The following is a 15,472-nucleotide window of genomic DNA, read 5'->3' as shown; positions in this document are numbered from 1 at the left end:
TTCTATATGCGTTTTTTTTTTTTCCTGTACATACATAACCCAGGAGAAAGTTTAATTTATAAATTGGGCTAGTAAGAGAATAACAACAATAATTAATTAGAAAAAAGAACAATTATAAAAATATACTGTCATGGAAATTATGTGAATGTGGTCTCTCTCTCAAAATATCTTAATATTTTTGGACCACAGTTGACCATAGCTAACTGAAATTGCTGAAACTGCAGATAAGGGTGGACTGCTGTACTCATTTTATTTTTATTTCTAGGGTAAAAATCATGGTAAGAAACTCCGAAATTACTATGCAGCAAATAGCTGTCCTCCTCCTGCTAGAATGAGCAATGTGGTCGAGCCTGCAGCTACTCCAGTTGTTCCAGTCCCTCCGCAGGTGAGACATGTGTGTCAGGGTGAAGCAGCATTAGGGTGGAAGCTGTAATATGCACAAATGGTTATAGATGACATTTGTCGTCCATGTGTCCATTAGGGTACAGTTGGGAAAATAATCCTGAAAGATGCTGCTTGGTACTTTTAACTCCTTGAACTACAGTGCTGGATTTAATGCAGGCTATTGTTACGTGAGTCTTTATACATTTCTTAAAATTCTGGGCTAAATAGGCCAGGTGCGGTCACTCATGCCTGTAATCCCAGCACTTTGGGAGGCCGAGACGGGCGAATCACGAGGTCAAGAGATCGAGACCATCATGGCTAACACGGTGAAACCCTGTCCCAATTAAAAATACAGAAAATTAGCCAGGCGTGGTGGCGGGCACCTGTAGTCCCAGCTGCTCGGGAGGCTGAGGCAGGAGAAAGGTGCGAACCCGGGAGGCGGAGCTTGCAGTGAGCTGAGATTGCACCACTGCACTCCAGCCTGGGCAACAGTGCGAGACTCCATCTCAAAAAAAAAAAAAAAAAAGAAATTCTGGGCTAAATGATCCTGAATGTCTAGGCTAACCCCAAAATGAAAAGAGAGATTTTCAAACATGTGTTCCTTTATTGCAGTTCATCCCATTTATTTCAGATTTTGCCTTCCAGTTGCAAAATTAGGTGTTTGAGATTGCTTATTACTTACCTCTATTCAGAGAGCCTGTGTAAACATGTTTTGAACCTTGCTATCATGAAACAGACTTGAAAACCAAGTTCTTCTGCTCTTTGGAAGATAGAACAGGTGCTTTAGGCAAGATATTCCTGTACCTTAGTAGCCTCTGAAACATGGAGTCTACTCTTAATCTGTCTTTGAAGTGTTATATGTCCATAAAAACAATACAGTGGTCATAAATAATAATAGTTATAATAGAGTACATATCGTGCCAGGCACTGTGCTGAGCATGTTTCATACGTTGTTTCAGTCAGGGCTGGGACTATGGTGAGGTGATGGATGCACTAAACTTGGGCATAAAATTTAAGAAGGAGCCAAAAAACTCAGTAATAAAGATAGATATTTAATACAATATTTTAGAAATGTAAAATTGATTTAAAATAGTGGTGAACAAAACATTAAAAACTTAAAATAAGTATTACTGATTTTCCTTTTGCCCCAGGCTGCAATATGACTTGGTGTGGCAGTGTTGTTACTGATTCTGAATGTAAAATTTTGGTATTTTATTCATCCTTAATTTTTTGCATTAAATTTAATTTTTTAAGCTGGGTGTGGTGGTGTGTGCCTGTAGTCTCAGGTACTTGGGAGGGTGAGGCACAAGAATCACTTGAACCCGGGAGGTGGAGGTTGCAGTGAGCCAAGATTGTGCCACTGCATTCCAGTCTGGGTGACAGAGCGAGACTATCTCAAAAAAATAAAAAGAAAATGTAATTAAAAAAATTCCATGAAAGTATTATTAATCTTGATTGCTGAGTTTTTTTTGATGCTCCATTAAATTCTGAGCCCAAGGCAAGTGTCTCACTTGCTTCATTTTAGTCCCAGGCCCTGACGTCATTTAATGCTTGCAGCGACTTAGAGGTATTGGCCATATTACTCAAATTGGTGTCCATAGGTCAGCAGTTTCAGCCTCACTGAAGTTTATTAGAAGCTTAGATGAGCTAAGTAACTTTCCATGGTGTTACAGGTTTTGTAAAGTGGTGGAGCAAGAATTTCTTTCTTTTTTTTTTTTTTTGAGATGGAGTTTTGCTCTTGTTGCCCAGGCTGGAGTGCAATGGTGTGCTGGGCTCACTGCAACCTCCGCCTCCTGGGTTTCAAGCAATTCTCTTGCCTCAGCCTCCTGAGTAGCTGGGATTACAGGTGCCTGCCACCATGCCCAGCTAATTTTTGTTATTTTAGTAGAGACAGGGTTTTGTCATGTTGGCCAGGCTGGTCTTGAACTCCTGACCTCAGGTGATCCACCTGCCTCGGCCTCCCAAAGTGCTGGGACTACAGGCATGAGCCACCGTGTCCAGCCCAAGAATTTCTTTTGATCTTAGACCTTTGCTTTTAACCAGTTTGTATCATTTTACTTTTCTGAGTGTTAGTTTTTAGTATTTAAAAGTGTGGGTAGCAATTCTGGCTGTTCTTCCTTCTCATGGATTTGTGGGGAAAATGAGATATATAAAAAACCAAATCAGAGAACAAGAAGATACCCAGAGAGATCTTCAAGCTGCATAGTTTTCCTGTCACTGGTTTCTGAAGGCTGCTCTAGAATTGAATAGCTACCCCCAGTGGGGGCTGTTTTCAGTGGGCTCCACCCTCCCGGGCAGGCAGCCTAAGCCTTTCTTCAGAGCATACCCCAGAAAAAACTTCCCTTCCAAGTGAAATGATGCTGTTTTCTGCAACTGTTGCTGATATATGTGGTTTCCAGAATCTTTATCATGTACTATATTATTCTCTTCTGGCCAAAACCTAGTGTGTCATTTTTTTTGTTAACCTAATACTTACTGAATGCCTACTATCTTCTGGGCAATCTGTTAGGCTCTCTTTAACATGTTATTCCACAACCTGACTACAGTTGTCTGGATTTGCTACTTATTTTTAATTTTTTTCCGGATTATATCTGTAGCTAGTTTGTAGACTCTTTGTGGACAGGGGCTCTTTTTAAAAAAATATATGACTATGTATCCCTCCTGGACTAGACAGCAACCCTGATAAAGAGTTAACAGTCACTAAATGCTTATCGATGGATTCTGCAGACTTTACTGTTTCCCGTAATGTGATTTTAGGCCTTACCTATTTTACCCATGACTTACTGTCCTAAATCTAAGGTTTTTAAACTCTTAAAAAATGTCTTCAGTGGCGACAGCAACTAGCCATTCACTAATTTGGTACCTAAGTGATTATAATGCAAAACCATGATTAAGTATCTCCCAGCCTTTTTGTTTTCCTGGATTGAATTATTTTCTTGATGAAGCTTAATGCTTGTGGTCATGCCATATCCTTTGGTTGTTTTTCAGCTCTTAGAAAGACCTTTGAGGAGAAGGAGGAAACTCTGTATTTTTTTTAACTTTGTTTCTTCTTGTGTCTTTGATGTCAGATGGGCTCCTTTAAGCCAGGAGGCCGAGTGATCCTGGCCACGGAGAATGATTACTGTAAGCTCTGTGATGCCTCCTTCAGTTCCCCAGCTGTGGCTCAGGCTCACTATCAAGGGAAGAATCATGCCAAGAGGCTGCGGCTGGCGGAAGCTCAGAGTAACTCATTCTCGTAGGTATTGCCATTTTCTCTGAGGCCAAAGTGTTATGTGAGATTGACTGTCTTTAAAGAAAAAGAGTAGAAAGGGATTCTTGTTTAGAAGACTCACTCTTTTTTAAACTTCTTTTCTCCAGGGAATCCTCAGAGCTGGGTCAACGGCGGGCCAGGAAAGAAGGGAATGAGTTTAAGATGATGCCTAACAGGAGAAATATGTATACAGTACAGAATAATTCAGGTATCTTGTCTGTTTCCACATACCTTGGGTACATTCTGTACCTAGTCTCCTTTGTTTTTATTTCTTTTAATGATAATAGATAGCCCTGAGAATTTGGAGTTAGTCAGTGTTTTATTGAATTAGTCTAGTGGCGGCCTTTCAGGCTGGTGTGTATTTCAGGTCTCATTTATTTACTTTATTGTTGTAAATAATATATTATTTATTTTGGTTTTACACTATAGTCTGTGTTTTAGGATCTCTTATCTTTGTCCCCTTATGTTTGTTTATATTTCCAGCTGAGAAATGTAAAAGACATGATAAAAATGGGCTACTTGGTTTAAAGTTGTACCATGTTAAAGAAAAGATTCTAAAGCAGTGTTTTTTAACCAGGCTAGTGAAACAGAATTACCCAAGGAGCTTTTACAAAATGCCTGAACCATGACTTAGAGATTTTCAATGAATAAATTTGGAGTAGGACCCAGACATATGTGTGTTTTGAAAATGCTTGCTTGATGCTTCTGATATACACATTTAGTTCACAAACACTGATTTATAGGAATAAATTCTGCATTTTCTGATTGTCTTCAGTAGGGAGAGTGGGCTGAGTAGTCCCTCACCCTCCCCTCTACTTCAGCCTCTGATTCATGCACATGCCAGCAGAGGTCATTTACTTGAACAGTGAAACAAATAGAAAACAGAGCTAACTGAAAAGCCAGAGAAGCCTACTAAAAAAAGGACATATAGAAAGCACAATTCAGGCCAGGCTCCTGTGGCTCGTGCGTGTAATCCCAGCACTTTGGGAGGCTGAGGTAGGTGGATCACCTGAGGTCAGGAGTTCGAGACCAGCCTGGCCAACACGGTGAAACCCCGTGTCTACTGAAAATACAAAATTAGCTGGGCATGGTGGCATACGCCTGTAATCCCAGCTACTTGGGAGGCTGAGGCAGGAGAATCGCTTGAACCTGGGAGGTGGAGGCTACAGTGAGCTGAGATTACACCACTGCATTCCAGTCTGGGTGACAGAGCAAGACTCTGTCTCAAAAAAAAAAAAAAAAAAAAAAAAAGCACAATTCATTATGATTAAGAAAAGTCTAAACATATATTAATAATTGTAATAAATGTAAAATTACCAAAGTCCAAAAAATGTTAAATTGGATGAAAGAAATCCATCTGAAATGAAAGAAGCTGGGATAGCTGTATTAATATCAGAAAAATAAATTTTAGGATAGATTATGTTCTCTGACCAGAGTACAATGAAATGAGATGTCAACAACAAAAATAGAAAAGCAAACAAAATTTCCATTTGTTTTCCAATTTAAAAACACTTCTAAATAACTCATGGTTCAAAGAAACAATTATACTGGAAATTAAAAATTCCTACAGTGAAACAGTAATGAAAATATATTAACACTTGTAGGATGCAGTGAAAGCAGTATTTTGAGAAAAGTATTACCTATATATTATTATAGTGGAAGTGAAAAGCATAAAGTTAACGAACTAAGCGTCCAGCTTATGAGGTCAGTAATGTAAAAAGAAGAAAATGAAATGATCAGTAATGTCACCAACACTTTTGCAGATTTCATTCTAGTCTCTTCATATGTATGACTTCTTTAAAATAGAAATGGGATCCTAGTTTGGGATATTCATAGTTTACTTAATAGCGTAAGAGTTTTCTATAGCATTATTATATTTAGCAATGGCATAGTTTTCCATTGCATTCATTACCATACTTTCTTTAATCCTATTTTTGAATCTCTTCTTCCCCCTAAATTTTTGCTTTTATAATCACTGCTGAGATAAACATATTGCTATTAAATCTCAGTGTGAAAATTCTTAGTATTTTCTTAGGATAATTCTTACAAGTAGAATTTTTGGATTAAAGGGTTAGCATAAGCATAAGACTTCTGATATAATGCTTGGAAATTAAAGTATTTTTAAAAGCGTATTCACTTTTTTAGAGACACAGCCATTTGGAATTTGGGTTTGGCTCTACAGCAATTTTTCTGACAATGGTTGGAGGAATCATTTTATCTTTTTAGATCGAACCTGTGTAAAATTGTAATTTTAAAAATCCATTAACTTCACATTCACTTAAAGCTAAGAATCTGTGAATTTTATAATTTGAACTTAGAATTACAAATTACAGTGATAATTGGTCAGGTTGTCATTCACTTAATGAATATTTTGAATATATTATTTTTATCTCTTGCTTTAGCAGGTCCTTACTTCAATCCCCGCTCTCGGCAGAGAATTCCACGTGATCTGGCCATGTGTGTTACTCCAAGTGGCCAGTTTTACTGCTCAATGTGTAATGTTGGAGCTGGCGAAGAGATGGAATTCCGGCAGCATTTAGAGAGCAAGCAACATAAGAGCAAGGTGTCTGAACAGCGGTACAGGAATGAGATGGAGAATCTGGGATATGTATAGTGATTATCATATTAAGATAGAGCAGCTTTTCCTGCCTGTTGTTTGCCTTTTGTCAACTTGCCCTGCTTTGTGGTCTTTTTGATATGAGTACATTCCTCTGCTTAATGTTAATACATGTAACCCACAGTGGTACCATGAGATGTCAAAACCTGGGGGCCCGGGGGCGGGGCGGGGGGAGGTGGGTGTGAAGAACGTGCTTCTTAGGTCATAACGCTTTTGCAGGGTCAATGGTGTTGAGCCGCTCATAGCATGTGACCTACCTACCCCATCAGAAATAACTTTTTATCTTGCTCAAGTTCTGGTCAACTAGTAGCCTGACGGCTTAGAACTTTGACTATTTAAAAGTTTCATTTTCTTTTGCAATTTTAGTTTTATGTACTGTTAAAGAATTGTACTGAATTCTTTTTAGATCACAGTAAAAATAGGTTGGCAGAGATTTCAGTTTCCCAGGGCTTAACCAGAACCGCCACCTCAATGCATTGTCAGTAGAATACATTATTAGAAACTGTTAAGGTCTTTCCCGGGACATTTTTTTCTGCCATTTTCTTTTGCAATTGTAGTTTTATGTACTGTTAAAGAATTGTATTGAATTCTTTTTAGATCAAAGTAAAAATAGGTCAGCAGAGATTTCAGTTTCCCAGGGCTTAACCAGAACCGCCACCTCAATGCATTGTCAGTAGGATACATTATTAGAAACTGTTAGGGTCTTTCCCAGGACATTTTTTTTTCTGTATCATGTCTCCCCATCATTGAAGCGCAAATTTTCTTGAATTCAAATACTCCCAATGAGCTTGTATACTTCCAAACAGCTAAACTTGATTTCCAGTTGTGGATTTCACACATATAATTGCCGCCTTCTTCCCTCCTCTTTTTTCCCCCCTAGTTGAATCAGCTTGTCTAACAAGCCCATTTTCATGCCCCAGCTGTGCTGTGGGTTTTCCAAGCCTCATATTTGAATATTCAATGAGTTTAAGATGGATATGATTTCAAAAAATAGGGCCGGGCGCGGTGGCTCACGCCTGTAATCCCAGCACTTTGGGAGGCCGAAGCAGGCGGATCACGAGGTCAGGAGGTCGAGATCATCCTGGCTAACACAGTGAAACCCCATCTCTACTAAAAATACAAAACATTAGCCGGGCGTGGTGGTGGGTGCCTGTAGTCCCAGCTACTCTGGAGGCTGAGGCAGGAGAATGGCGTGAACCCGGGAGGCGGAGCTTGCAGTGAGCCGAGATCGCGCCACTGCACTCCAGCCTGGGTGACAGAGCGAGACTCCGTCTCAAAAAAAAAAAAAAAAAAAAAAAAAAAATATATATATATATAGATATATTTTCCAGCAGTTTTTAGGAAACAAAGGTGTGTTTGATTTTCCAATTTAGAGTTACTTCATTGATAGTAACATGCGCTTATATCATGATCTAAACCATAAGTTCAGATTGCTTGATATTTTGTTTTGCCAGACTTTTTTGATAATCTGATTCTTACGGTTTACTTACATTTTCCTCTGTCTTGCCAGTCTGGTGGCCATCCTGAAAAATATCACCACCTGCTGTTTTATACACAGAGGAATTTTTTAAAAAGCAAATAAAGTTTCACTATCTTCGTTTCCAGTAGAAATATACACGAACTATGGTTTTATTCTTTGTAATTCGGCTTTCTTGAAGATACTAACAAGTATATGATAGATCACTTTGGCATCTGATAATTATATCAGTATTATTATTTTTGTTTTTTTGCGTTTAAAATAAGAAGTTGTATGAACCCAGGAGGTGGAGGTTGCAGTCAGCCAAGAATCGTGCCACTGCACTCCAGTCTGGGCGACAGAGCAATACTCCGTCTCCAAAAAAAAAAAAAAAGAAGCTATAATATATATCTAGATTAACTAATGGAGTGCTCTGTGAATATTCATTAACTACATTTTATCTATTTACTATATTTTATATGGGTAAGACCAGTGGTCATCCGTATTTCTTTTGAAAGCCCACTTGATCAGGAAGTTTATATTTTAAGCAGTATGTTTGCACAATGGTCAGTTCACATTTGATTGCTTGTATTACTAATTAGAGGTAAAACTTCTATTTTTTCTTGATAATTCTGTAGGCAAAAAAAATTGGGGAAGGCAAATTACAATCATTCTTCTTCTGTAATACTTTGGGACAATTTTTAAACAACTCAGACCCATGTTTAAAAACGAGTTTTGTGTGATTAACCCTTGTATAGTATCCAGTTACTGTCTTCTCTTGAAGTGGTGGTTCTTTGAGAAGTAGAATTATTTTGTAACTTTTCTTCTCCCAGAAACAGAAGAATCAAATACTATTCTGTTAGGATTCTATCTAGACCTGTGACTCTTAGTATAATAACCCTTTTATTATTATTATTATTATTATTTTTTCAGTAATCTATAAAGTAGAGTTGCTTAGTTTTGAGCAATTTAGGGCTTTTCTTATTGGCCAGTAGGTTATTCATTTTGCTGCTAAATATAATTTTTTGGTTAATTTTAACATTATAGTGCTGGCCGCTTGGTTCTATGATTACCTAAAAATCTAGTTTTTTTCCTCCATAGGTAGATGTGTGTGTATGCATACCCCCACACACACACGTACATATATGTTGTCATAGAGAGGTATTTCAACCCTTATTTCAAATAACAGTAGAAGATACGAACATGAATTTATATTTTGTAAAAATGTCATTCATCCACTTTGTTTTCCATTGGAAATAGTTTTATAAGAAGGGTTCCCCTTGCTCTCTCCACTTAACAATTTCATTATATACGTAGAAAAAGCAGCCGACTTAAGGGCTTGATGTTTTTTCAGGCCTTGTGGATTCAGGTTTCCAGTTTCCCAGTGCCCTTAATGGATGTTATGAATGCATAAGCACATTTTCTTTTAAAGAAAGAAGTTAGATTTATAGTGTTATTTCTTACTTGCTATATTTCTTTGCACTAAAAAAGAGCTATGTGTTTGTTTTATAGGACACTTTAGTACCGTATTGCCTACAATAACTCAGTTTGCTCCTTAAATTCCAAACTCTGGGAAGTTGATAAATAACTTCCATGATCACTTGTAAAAGTTACATGCACATCTGAAAAAAAATCACAAATCTCTATGACAGTAGGTTATGTTTTGAGCTTGTTACCTTGCAGTATTCTTCTCTGTTCCATAGGTGAAAACAAAGGGTGACAGAGGTTATCAGGCAGGAAATGCCTAAATAGATACATCTCTGCATGGTACAATTTCTCATATTCATGTATTCCATAAACAGTGTTTTTTCTCTGTTTAAGCAGACTGTTGTTTCTTCTGAGTCAGTGATATGTGATCTTCGTTGGTTTCATTTTGTGAAGCTCAGTCTGTCTCTGTAACATACTTTAGGATTTGCACCTTGTGCTCCCCAGGAATTATGTTAGTGTCCTTTTCTATGCTGTCTTCAAGGATGGACAGAGGCCTAAACCACAACAACAACAAAAATTAGAAAAAAAAATACTTAGATTTCGGTAATCATCCATAGGAACTCATAGCATCAGTCTCTTTTCTCTGTGAATAATATCTTTGTGTAAGTTGTCATAAAAAATCAACGTTAGAAGATGACAATTAGAATTCTTCTTAGGTATTGAGGGTAAGAAGTTGTAAAGAAAGAAAATTCGTGTTTCAACTAAAAGATTGGATTGCATATACCTTTGAAGTGGTTTTGTAAAAAAAGTTCAGTTACTAAACTGAGTGTGCCCTGTAATCCTTTTGAGTGCACTGAAGATGCTTTGAAAATACTTTGTTGGTCTTCACATTGTGCATCATGTCCTGCAACTTGTAAATATGTGCATGTTGTTTATGTTTGTCTGCCTGTCTCTTATTGCACTAAATTCTGCAAGGTGAATAATTTTTTTATACCATTTATTTGGAAAAAGTTCCTCCTCCAACTCTTCTTCACTGACCTTTTAATTAGTTGGTAAACTTAGAAAACCAGGTAGGATTTTTGAAGCCCTGAGTTTAAAAGAAGAATCGTGGCTATTTGACATCATCCTTACATTCCCCTGACTTAAAAAGCTAACAAGAAGCACGAGATCTTCCACCTCATTTTAGAAAGCTTTTCTACAGAACTATATGCTTGCTTATAGCTACCTATCTACAGTTTGAACAGGGAGAAAGGGAGATATGTATGTCTGGTTACATCTTCCTTCACTCTTGAATTGGCTGGGACAGCAAGCAACAACAGTTTGAGGTCCAGTGACCTACGTAAAATGAGTGTCGTTTGTGTCAGGGGACACATGTAACTGTGCAACATGGTATTTTCTACAGGGAGGGCTAGGAAGGGTGGTTTTGGAACCTAACCTACTTTGTGTCTTCATTGTCAGAACTAAGGTTGGAAATGCCCTTTAAAGAACTTGGTGAGGCATATGCTAGGACAATAGAGCTGCTTTAGAAAGAAATTGAGACATGTTTTGTCAGGACAGATAAAAGTTTAATGCAGGCTTTTGAACAGATGTTTTAAAACAAATTTGACCTTACCAACTATTTTTTTCTTCTAGCCAAATCATTGTACAGGAGTTTCATATATGATAAAAAGTGTTTTGTTATTGTTTTTGCTTTCTTGGCAGGGGAGAACCCCTACCATTGTGAGCAGTTACTGTCACTCTGGCTGAATGGACAAATAGCTGTGTAAATAGCTTCTCATAAAACGCTTCTACTGATAGCTGTTTGACTTTTTCTTCCCGTTATGAATGGGAGGAACATTTGTAAACTTCCTTTCTGGGTAGCTACCAAAAAACGTACTGGCTTATGGTCCCATGTGACCTTGTCTCCGTTAAGCCCAGAATCTGAGTGCCTTTAGCAAGTGTTAGCATTTCACAGAGAGAAGAGAGACAGAATTATTGCTATTAATCACCATTCATAAATAGGAGCTTGGAATAACAAAGGTCTGTGTGAATTCTGTTCTACGTCTTTTTTTTCCCTTTTTTAAATAAATGTCAATTTGATATCAAGTAAAACTATTGTCATTATTGATCAGAAACCATACATTCTGAAAATGAATCCAGTTTTCCCAAGCTGGCAGAAGTCAGAGATCATTTTTCACCTTGATCTGTGTTGCGTTTGTACTTAGTGAATGGCAGTGTGGTTGATTGGAAGAGCTTGACACTGATGTTTGGAAAAATTCTTTATTCTAGTGGTCATTTTCAAACTTGTCTTCTGTAGAGAGGGGAAAAATTATGTATTTGCAGCTAAAGCGAAGAGACTGGCACAATAATTATTAATTGTGTTAGTTCATTTCTATATTAAATGAAGCATCTTCACAAATCAGGTTTGAAGCCATTAAAAGCAAAATTTTCCCTAGTTTAATTAATTTAAAATTCTAAATTGCCTGACTACTTAGAATCTTAGAAACGCCCTGCTAGACTGATTTTATTATAGAAATGTTAACATGTTCCTCAACATTTTCTCAAGAAAATTTTCAGACATATATCAAAGTTGAAAAAACTTTGCAGTATAACCACTGCTAGATTCTGCCATCAACATTTGACTATACTTGTATTGCCATGTATCTGTTCATATTCTCTATCCCTCTTTTCATCCATCGATCCATCAGATTTTTTTTTTAAAGAACATTCCAAAGTAAATTTTAGGCAATACACTGCCCTAAATTCTTAGCATGGGTGTCATTAATTAAGGTTTAGTATTCGTTTAAATATCTATTTTGAAAGTGGTGTATGAAGTTGATAATCTGAGCCAATTAACATACTTTTTTTTTTTTCCTCCTGTGGACTTTTGTCTTCCAGTTTCTCTTTTTGTGTGTACTTAGGGTGAGGGAGGACAATTCCTTTCAAACACAAGTTTATTTTAGAATTGGTCATTTTTAAGTGCTTGTCATAAATTTTAAAGTTTCAATATAATTTTTCTTTTCCCCACTTCTGATAATGTATTTTTGCCAAACTATGCAGCTTCTTCAAAAAACTGTAAATTACTGATTGGGGTTTATGAAATCAGCGAATACCTCATTTCAATCTGTTGCTGCTTTTCTCCCTCTTGTCACTTCTCCTTTCACTACTTTCAGCTGCTCTACCAGAAGGTAGAGGGGAGTAAAGGGTCAAACCCCTATATAATTAGCTGTTTTAAACAACTCTAGGAGAGCAGATTAAGTAGCTTAGTAAGTTGAAACTATTAATTTTTCTAAAGAATTTGATTTGAATTCCTTGAGAATTGTAATTATCCACACTTCCTCCAGCTATAATTAGCAGAATTAAAAATGATTGTACTGTACAATGAGTTGTTGAAATTGTAAGCCTTAGTAACCATCTTTAGCTTTATTGTAGTCATGTTTAGAAAAAATTATTTTTACATATGCCTTTATTTTTATGCCCACTTTTTGTGGATAAGATTCTTTAGATAAAATCTAAAGAATTTTAAGTGACTTTCTCCAGGTCATGAAGATTCAATGGGTAGAATTGAATCAGAATTGAAATGTTCCAGATTCATATTCTTGTGTGTGTTTGATAAAATTCATGGCTTCCAAAGTAACTGAACACTTCCTTTGGGCCCTTGGAGGGAAAATCCATATTTTTACTAATTACACTTTTTTTTTTAGACATCTGGCAGTTCTTTGAACTTAAACATATTCTCATGGCCATAGTTCCAAATTAAGCCCGACGCAGTTGCTAAAAATCTTGCTGCACTGTTGAATACTAATAATGCAACATTTATTGGATGTTTTTGCATTTTGATGACCTTCATGATTCATTTATAAGTCTTTGTAAGTGCTTAAGTGACCCCCTCACTAGTGAAAATAATAAATGTTCTATATCATTTATTATTATTTGTGTATTCTCTACATGATATATTTTTTTAAGGAAGAGTAACTCCACATGTCAGAATGAGTGATATTATCCTAGGGCAAAGCGCAAATAGGGCAGTTTGTTTCTACTCTGCAAATATGGCATGTATAGGAACAAAACTCTTTTGGAGTGGCTGGTCATTGTTCTGCCCTCTTTTGGTACCTGAGTACCTTTCTGGGGTTTTGTAAATCGTGTGTCATTTGTAAGAATTTCACGTTAACTCTGCGTTACTTGGTGTTCACCTGTGGTATCCTTGACTGACCATAATGATTTAGTTTGGGTATGATGTGTCTGCTTTGAAATGCCTTACTGGAGTATGTCAGATCCTGCTTTAAAGCATTCCATATATCTGCTGGGACAATAAGTTGCTTCTCCTTGGAAATATGCTCTAGATTCAGAAGCAAAACCGATTTTGCTTTCACCATTAAGGTTGCATTTTAATGCAGTTATTGTTTTAAATTAGAGAATAAAATGTAAAACCAAGGGAGGCTTTAGAACCCTTTATTGAATGGCATGGCAAACTTTTAAAACTGCTTTTGCTATTTCACTAGAACTATCTTTGATAAAGGATATAGCTAAAAAATGTCAGCCCAAACTGTGTGTAATTAGGGTTGTTTATTAAAATTTTCTCTAAATGTCATACAGAGGCTTAAGATCTGTGTATGCTGTTGGGTCGGAGTGCCAGTCACTGCTTTGGAAGTCTGTGTTCTGGGGCTGCAGAATGACAAACGTGTCATGGGATTAAAACCAATCAACTGTGAATTGTGAAATTGAAACTACTCTTTCGGTTTTATTTTCTTTAGCATATTGAGTATAGAAATCTGAAACTTATTTAAAATTTATACTGCTTTTGTTGATGGCTCATTTTGGCTGTGTATCCTCACTTATGTACTGATTTCTGATAAAGGCTTGACATTATTATAACACGCATTTTGTGTTCCAGTTTAATAAAACGGTTTCTGAGTCTTGTCTGAAAATTGTTTGGTTATGAGTTGAAGATCAAGGGAAGAAGGTAAATTGTCATCACTGAGACGTTATTTTGATGCCGATTCTCGATGACTGTGGGTTCTCCATTCATCAGTCTGCACACAGTCTGCCATGGTCTTCTGGAAATCATGCAAGTACTGTAAGCTTTTAGGTTGGCAGTAGAATCAACCTAGCTGCCCACACTGCCCGTTCTCCCCATCACTGGAGTTAGCCTGGGACTGGAGTGAGTTCTCAATTTTGTTGGTAGATTTTAATATTTATTTTCCCTTCAAATTTTAAGAAAGTTGGCCTTAGTACCATAAACACTGCTGGAAATAAACACATTATTAAAAAGCATATACCCATTAATCTTTTGGGGGTGTTTTACATGTAAAATACTCTTACAAATATAATCAATTTATATATGCAATATAATTGAGATGTGGTCCTTTAAACAGCCTGGTTTTCTGTATACAGTGTACTTTTGAATTTAAATGCTCACTTAAAAAAGTAGATTATAGGCTGTAAGATGCTGTTATGCTTTAATTAATCAGGATGCAAGACACATACCCTTACTGTTGTGGGAAAAATTCTTCGGTCTGCACACACAAAAAATGTTTCTGAATGAAGTGAATAGATCACACTGAATTTGTGTGTTGTAAAGTACTCAAGGCATCAGCACATTTTATTAAATCATCTCCAGGAGATTCTTAGCTTTAAAAAAGCCATGATAATATGCACCAAAAAAGTCTTAAATGATTTCAGATTTTCAGCCTTTTTAAAGGCATTTCTGAGGCTCATTCATTGGCTGAAAATCTATTCAAGATCAAATGCTGGGTGTTATCCTTTATAATTTCTTAAAGGGCTGGTGATAAAGTTTCCCAATGTATGATAAATTGATATAAGATTATAAAGATCAGAAATAGATCTTTTTATGTGAGTTTTAAGATTTTTATCATCTGAGTTGAGGCTTAAACCACAACAATTCTTAGTTGTGGGATCTTCATAACTTGAAAATTAAGAATTACAAAAAGATGAAGACAGTTAACTATTGTGTAACGTGAATATTATTTTAAAGGGATCTGATTATGAGTTCTTACCAAAAAAAATCCCCTAAAAATACATTTCATGGTTTTTAATCTTCAAGTCTGTGTGTGTATGTGTGTATATATATTTAGGGGGAATGTATACTAGGAGGGAGTTTATGGAAACATGTTTAAGATGATCATATGCTAGTAATGAAGTGTGTCCAAAGGAACAGATGTAAATTTGCCACTGGAAGAAATACACTCCACCATAGGCAGTCTATAACTTATGCTTGGCATTTTGGATAAATCTTTAAGTATGTAATTAGAGCTTCAAATGTGTTTTGGCTGGAAGTTGTCCCTCTAGACAGGAACAAGATGCCTTTCATATTAGCTTCAATTTTTCATCTTTGCTG

At 36.6% G+C, this 15,472-nt stretch overlaps 1 protein-coding gene across 11 annotated transcripts in view, besides 1 other annotated feature; it reads left to right on the top strand.

Annotated features, from left to right (window-relative positions):
* ZMAT3 (zinc finger matrin-type 3) overlaps positions 1 to 14,042 on the top strand; it is a 55,291-nt gene extending 41,249 nt beyond the window's left edge. For 5 of the 11 annotated variants that reach the window (NM_001375827.1, NM_001375828.1, NM_001375826.1 and 2 more), the window contains 4 exons: positions 266 to 385; positions 3,453 to 3,619; positions 3,742 to 3,842; positions 6,040 to 14,042. In NM_001375827.1, the coding sequence (NP_001362756.1) occupies positions 266 to 385; positions 3,453 to 3,619; positions 3,742 to 3,842; positions 6,040 to 6,248 (597 nt within the window). In that variant the 3' untranslated portion in view covers positions 6,249 to 14,042. Of the gene's footprint in view, positions 1 to 265; positions 386 to 3,452; positions 3,624 to 3,741; positions 3,843 to 6,036 lie in introns of all 11 variants that reach the window. The other 6 variants (NM_022470.4, XM_011513073.3, NM_001375824.1 and 3 more) reach the window with 3 other exon arrangements.
* Positions 13,858 to 13,967: an enhancer, noted in NCBI's record as "active region_20856". NCBI's record gives its function as "activates an Ori minimal core promoter by ATAC-STARR-seq in GM12878 lymphoblastoid cells {active_cell/tissue: GM12878}" and the evidence as "EXISTENCE:reporter gene assay evidence [ECO:0000049][PMID:35858748]".

This window comes from Homo sapiens, chromosome 3, assembly GCF_000001405.40.
Source record: "Homo sapiens chromosome 3, GRCh38.p14 Primary Assembly".
Taxonomy (NCBI): Eukaryota; Metazoa; Chordata; class Mammalia; order Primates; family Hominidae; genus Homo; species Homo sapiens.
Note: the sequence above shows the minus strand (reverse complement) of the source record. Positions and strands in the feature narration are given on the sequence as shown.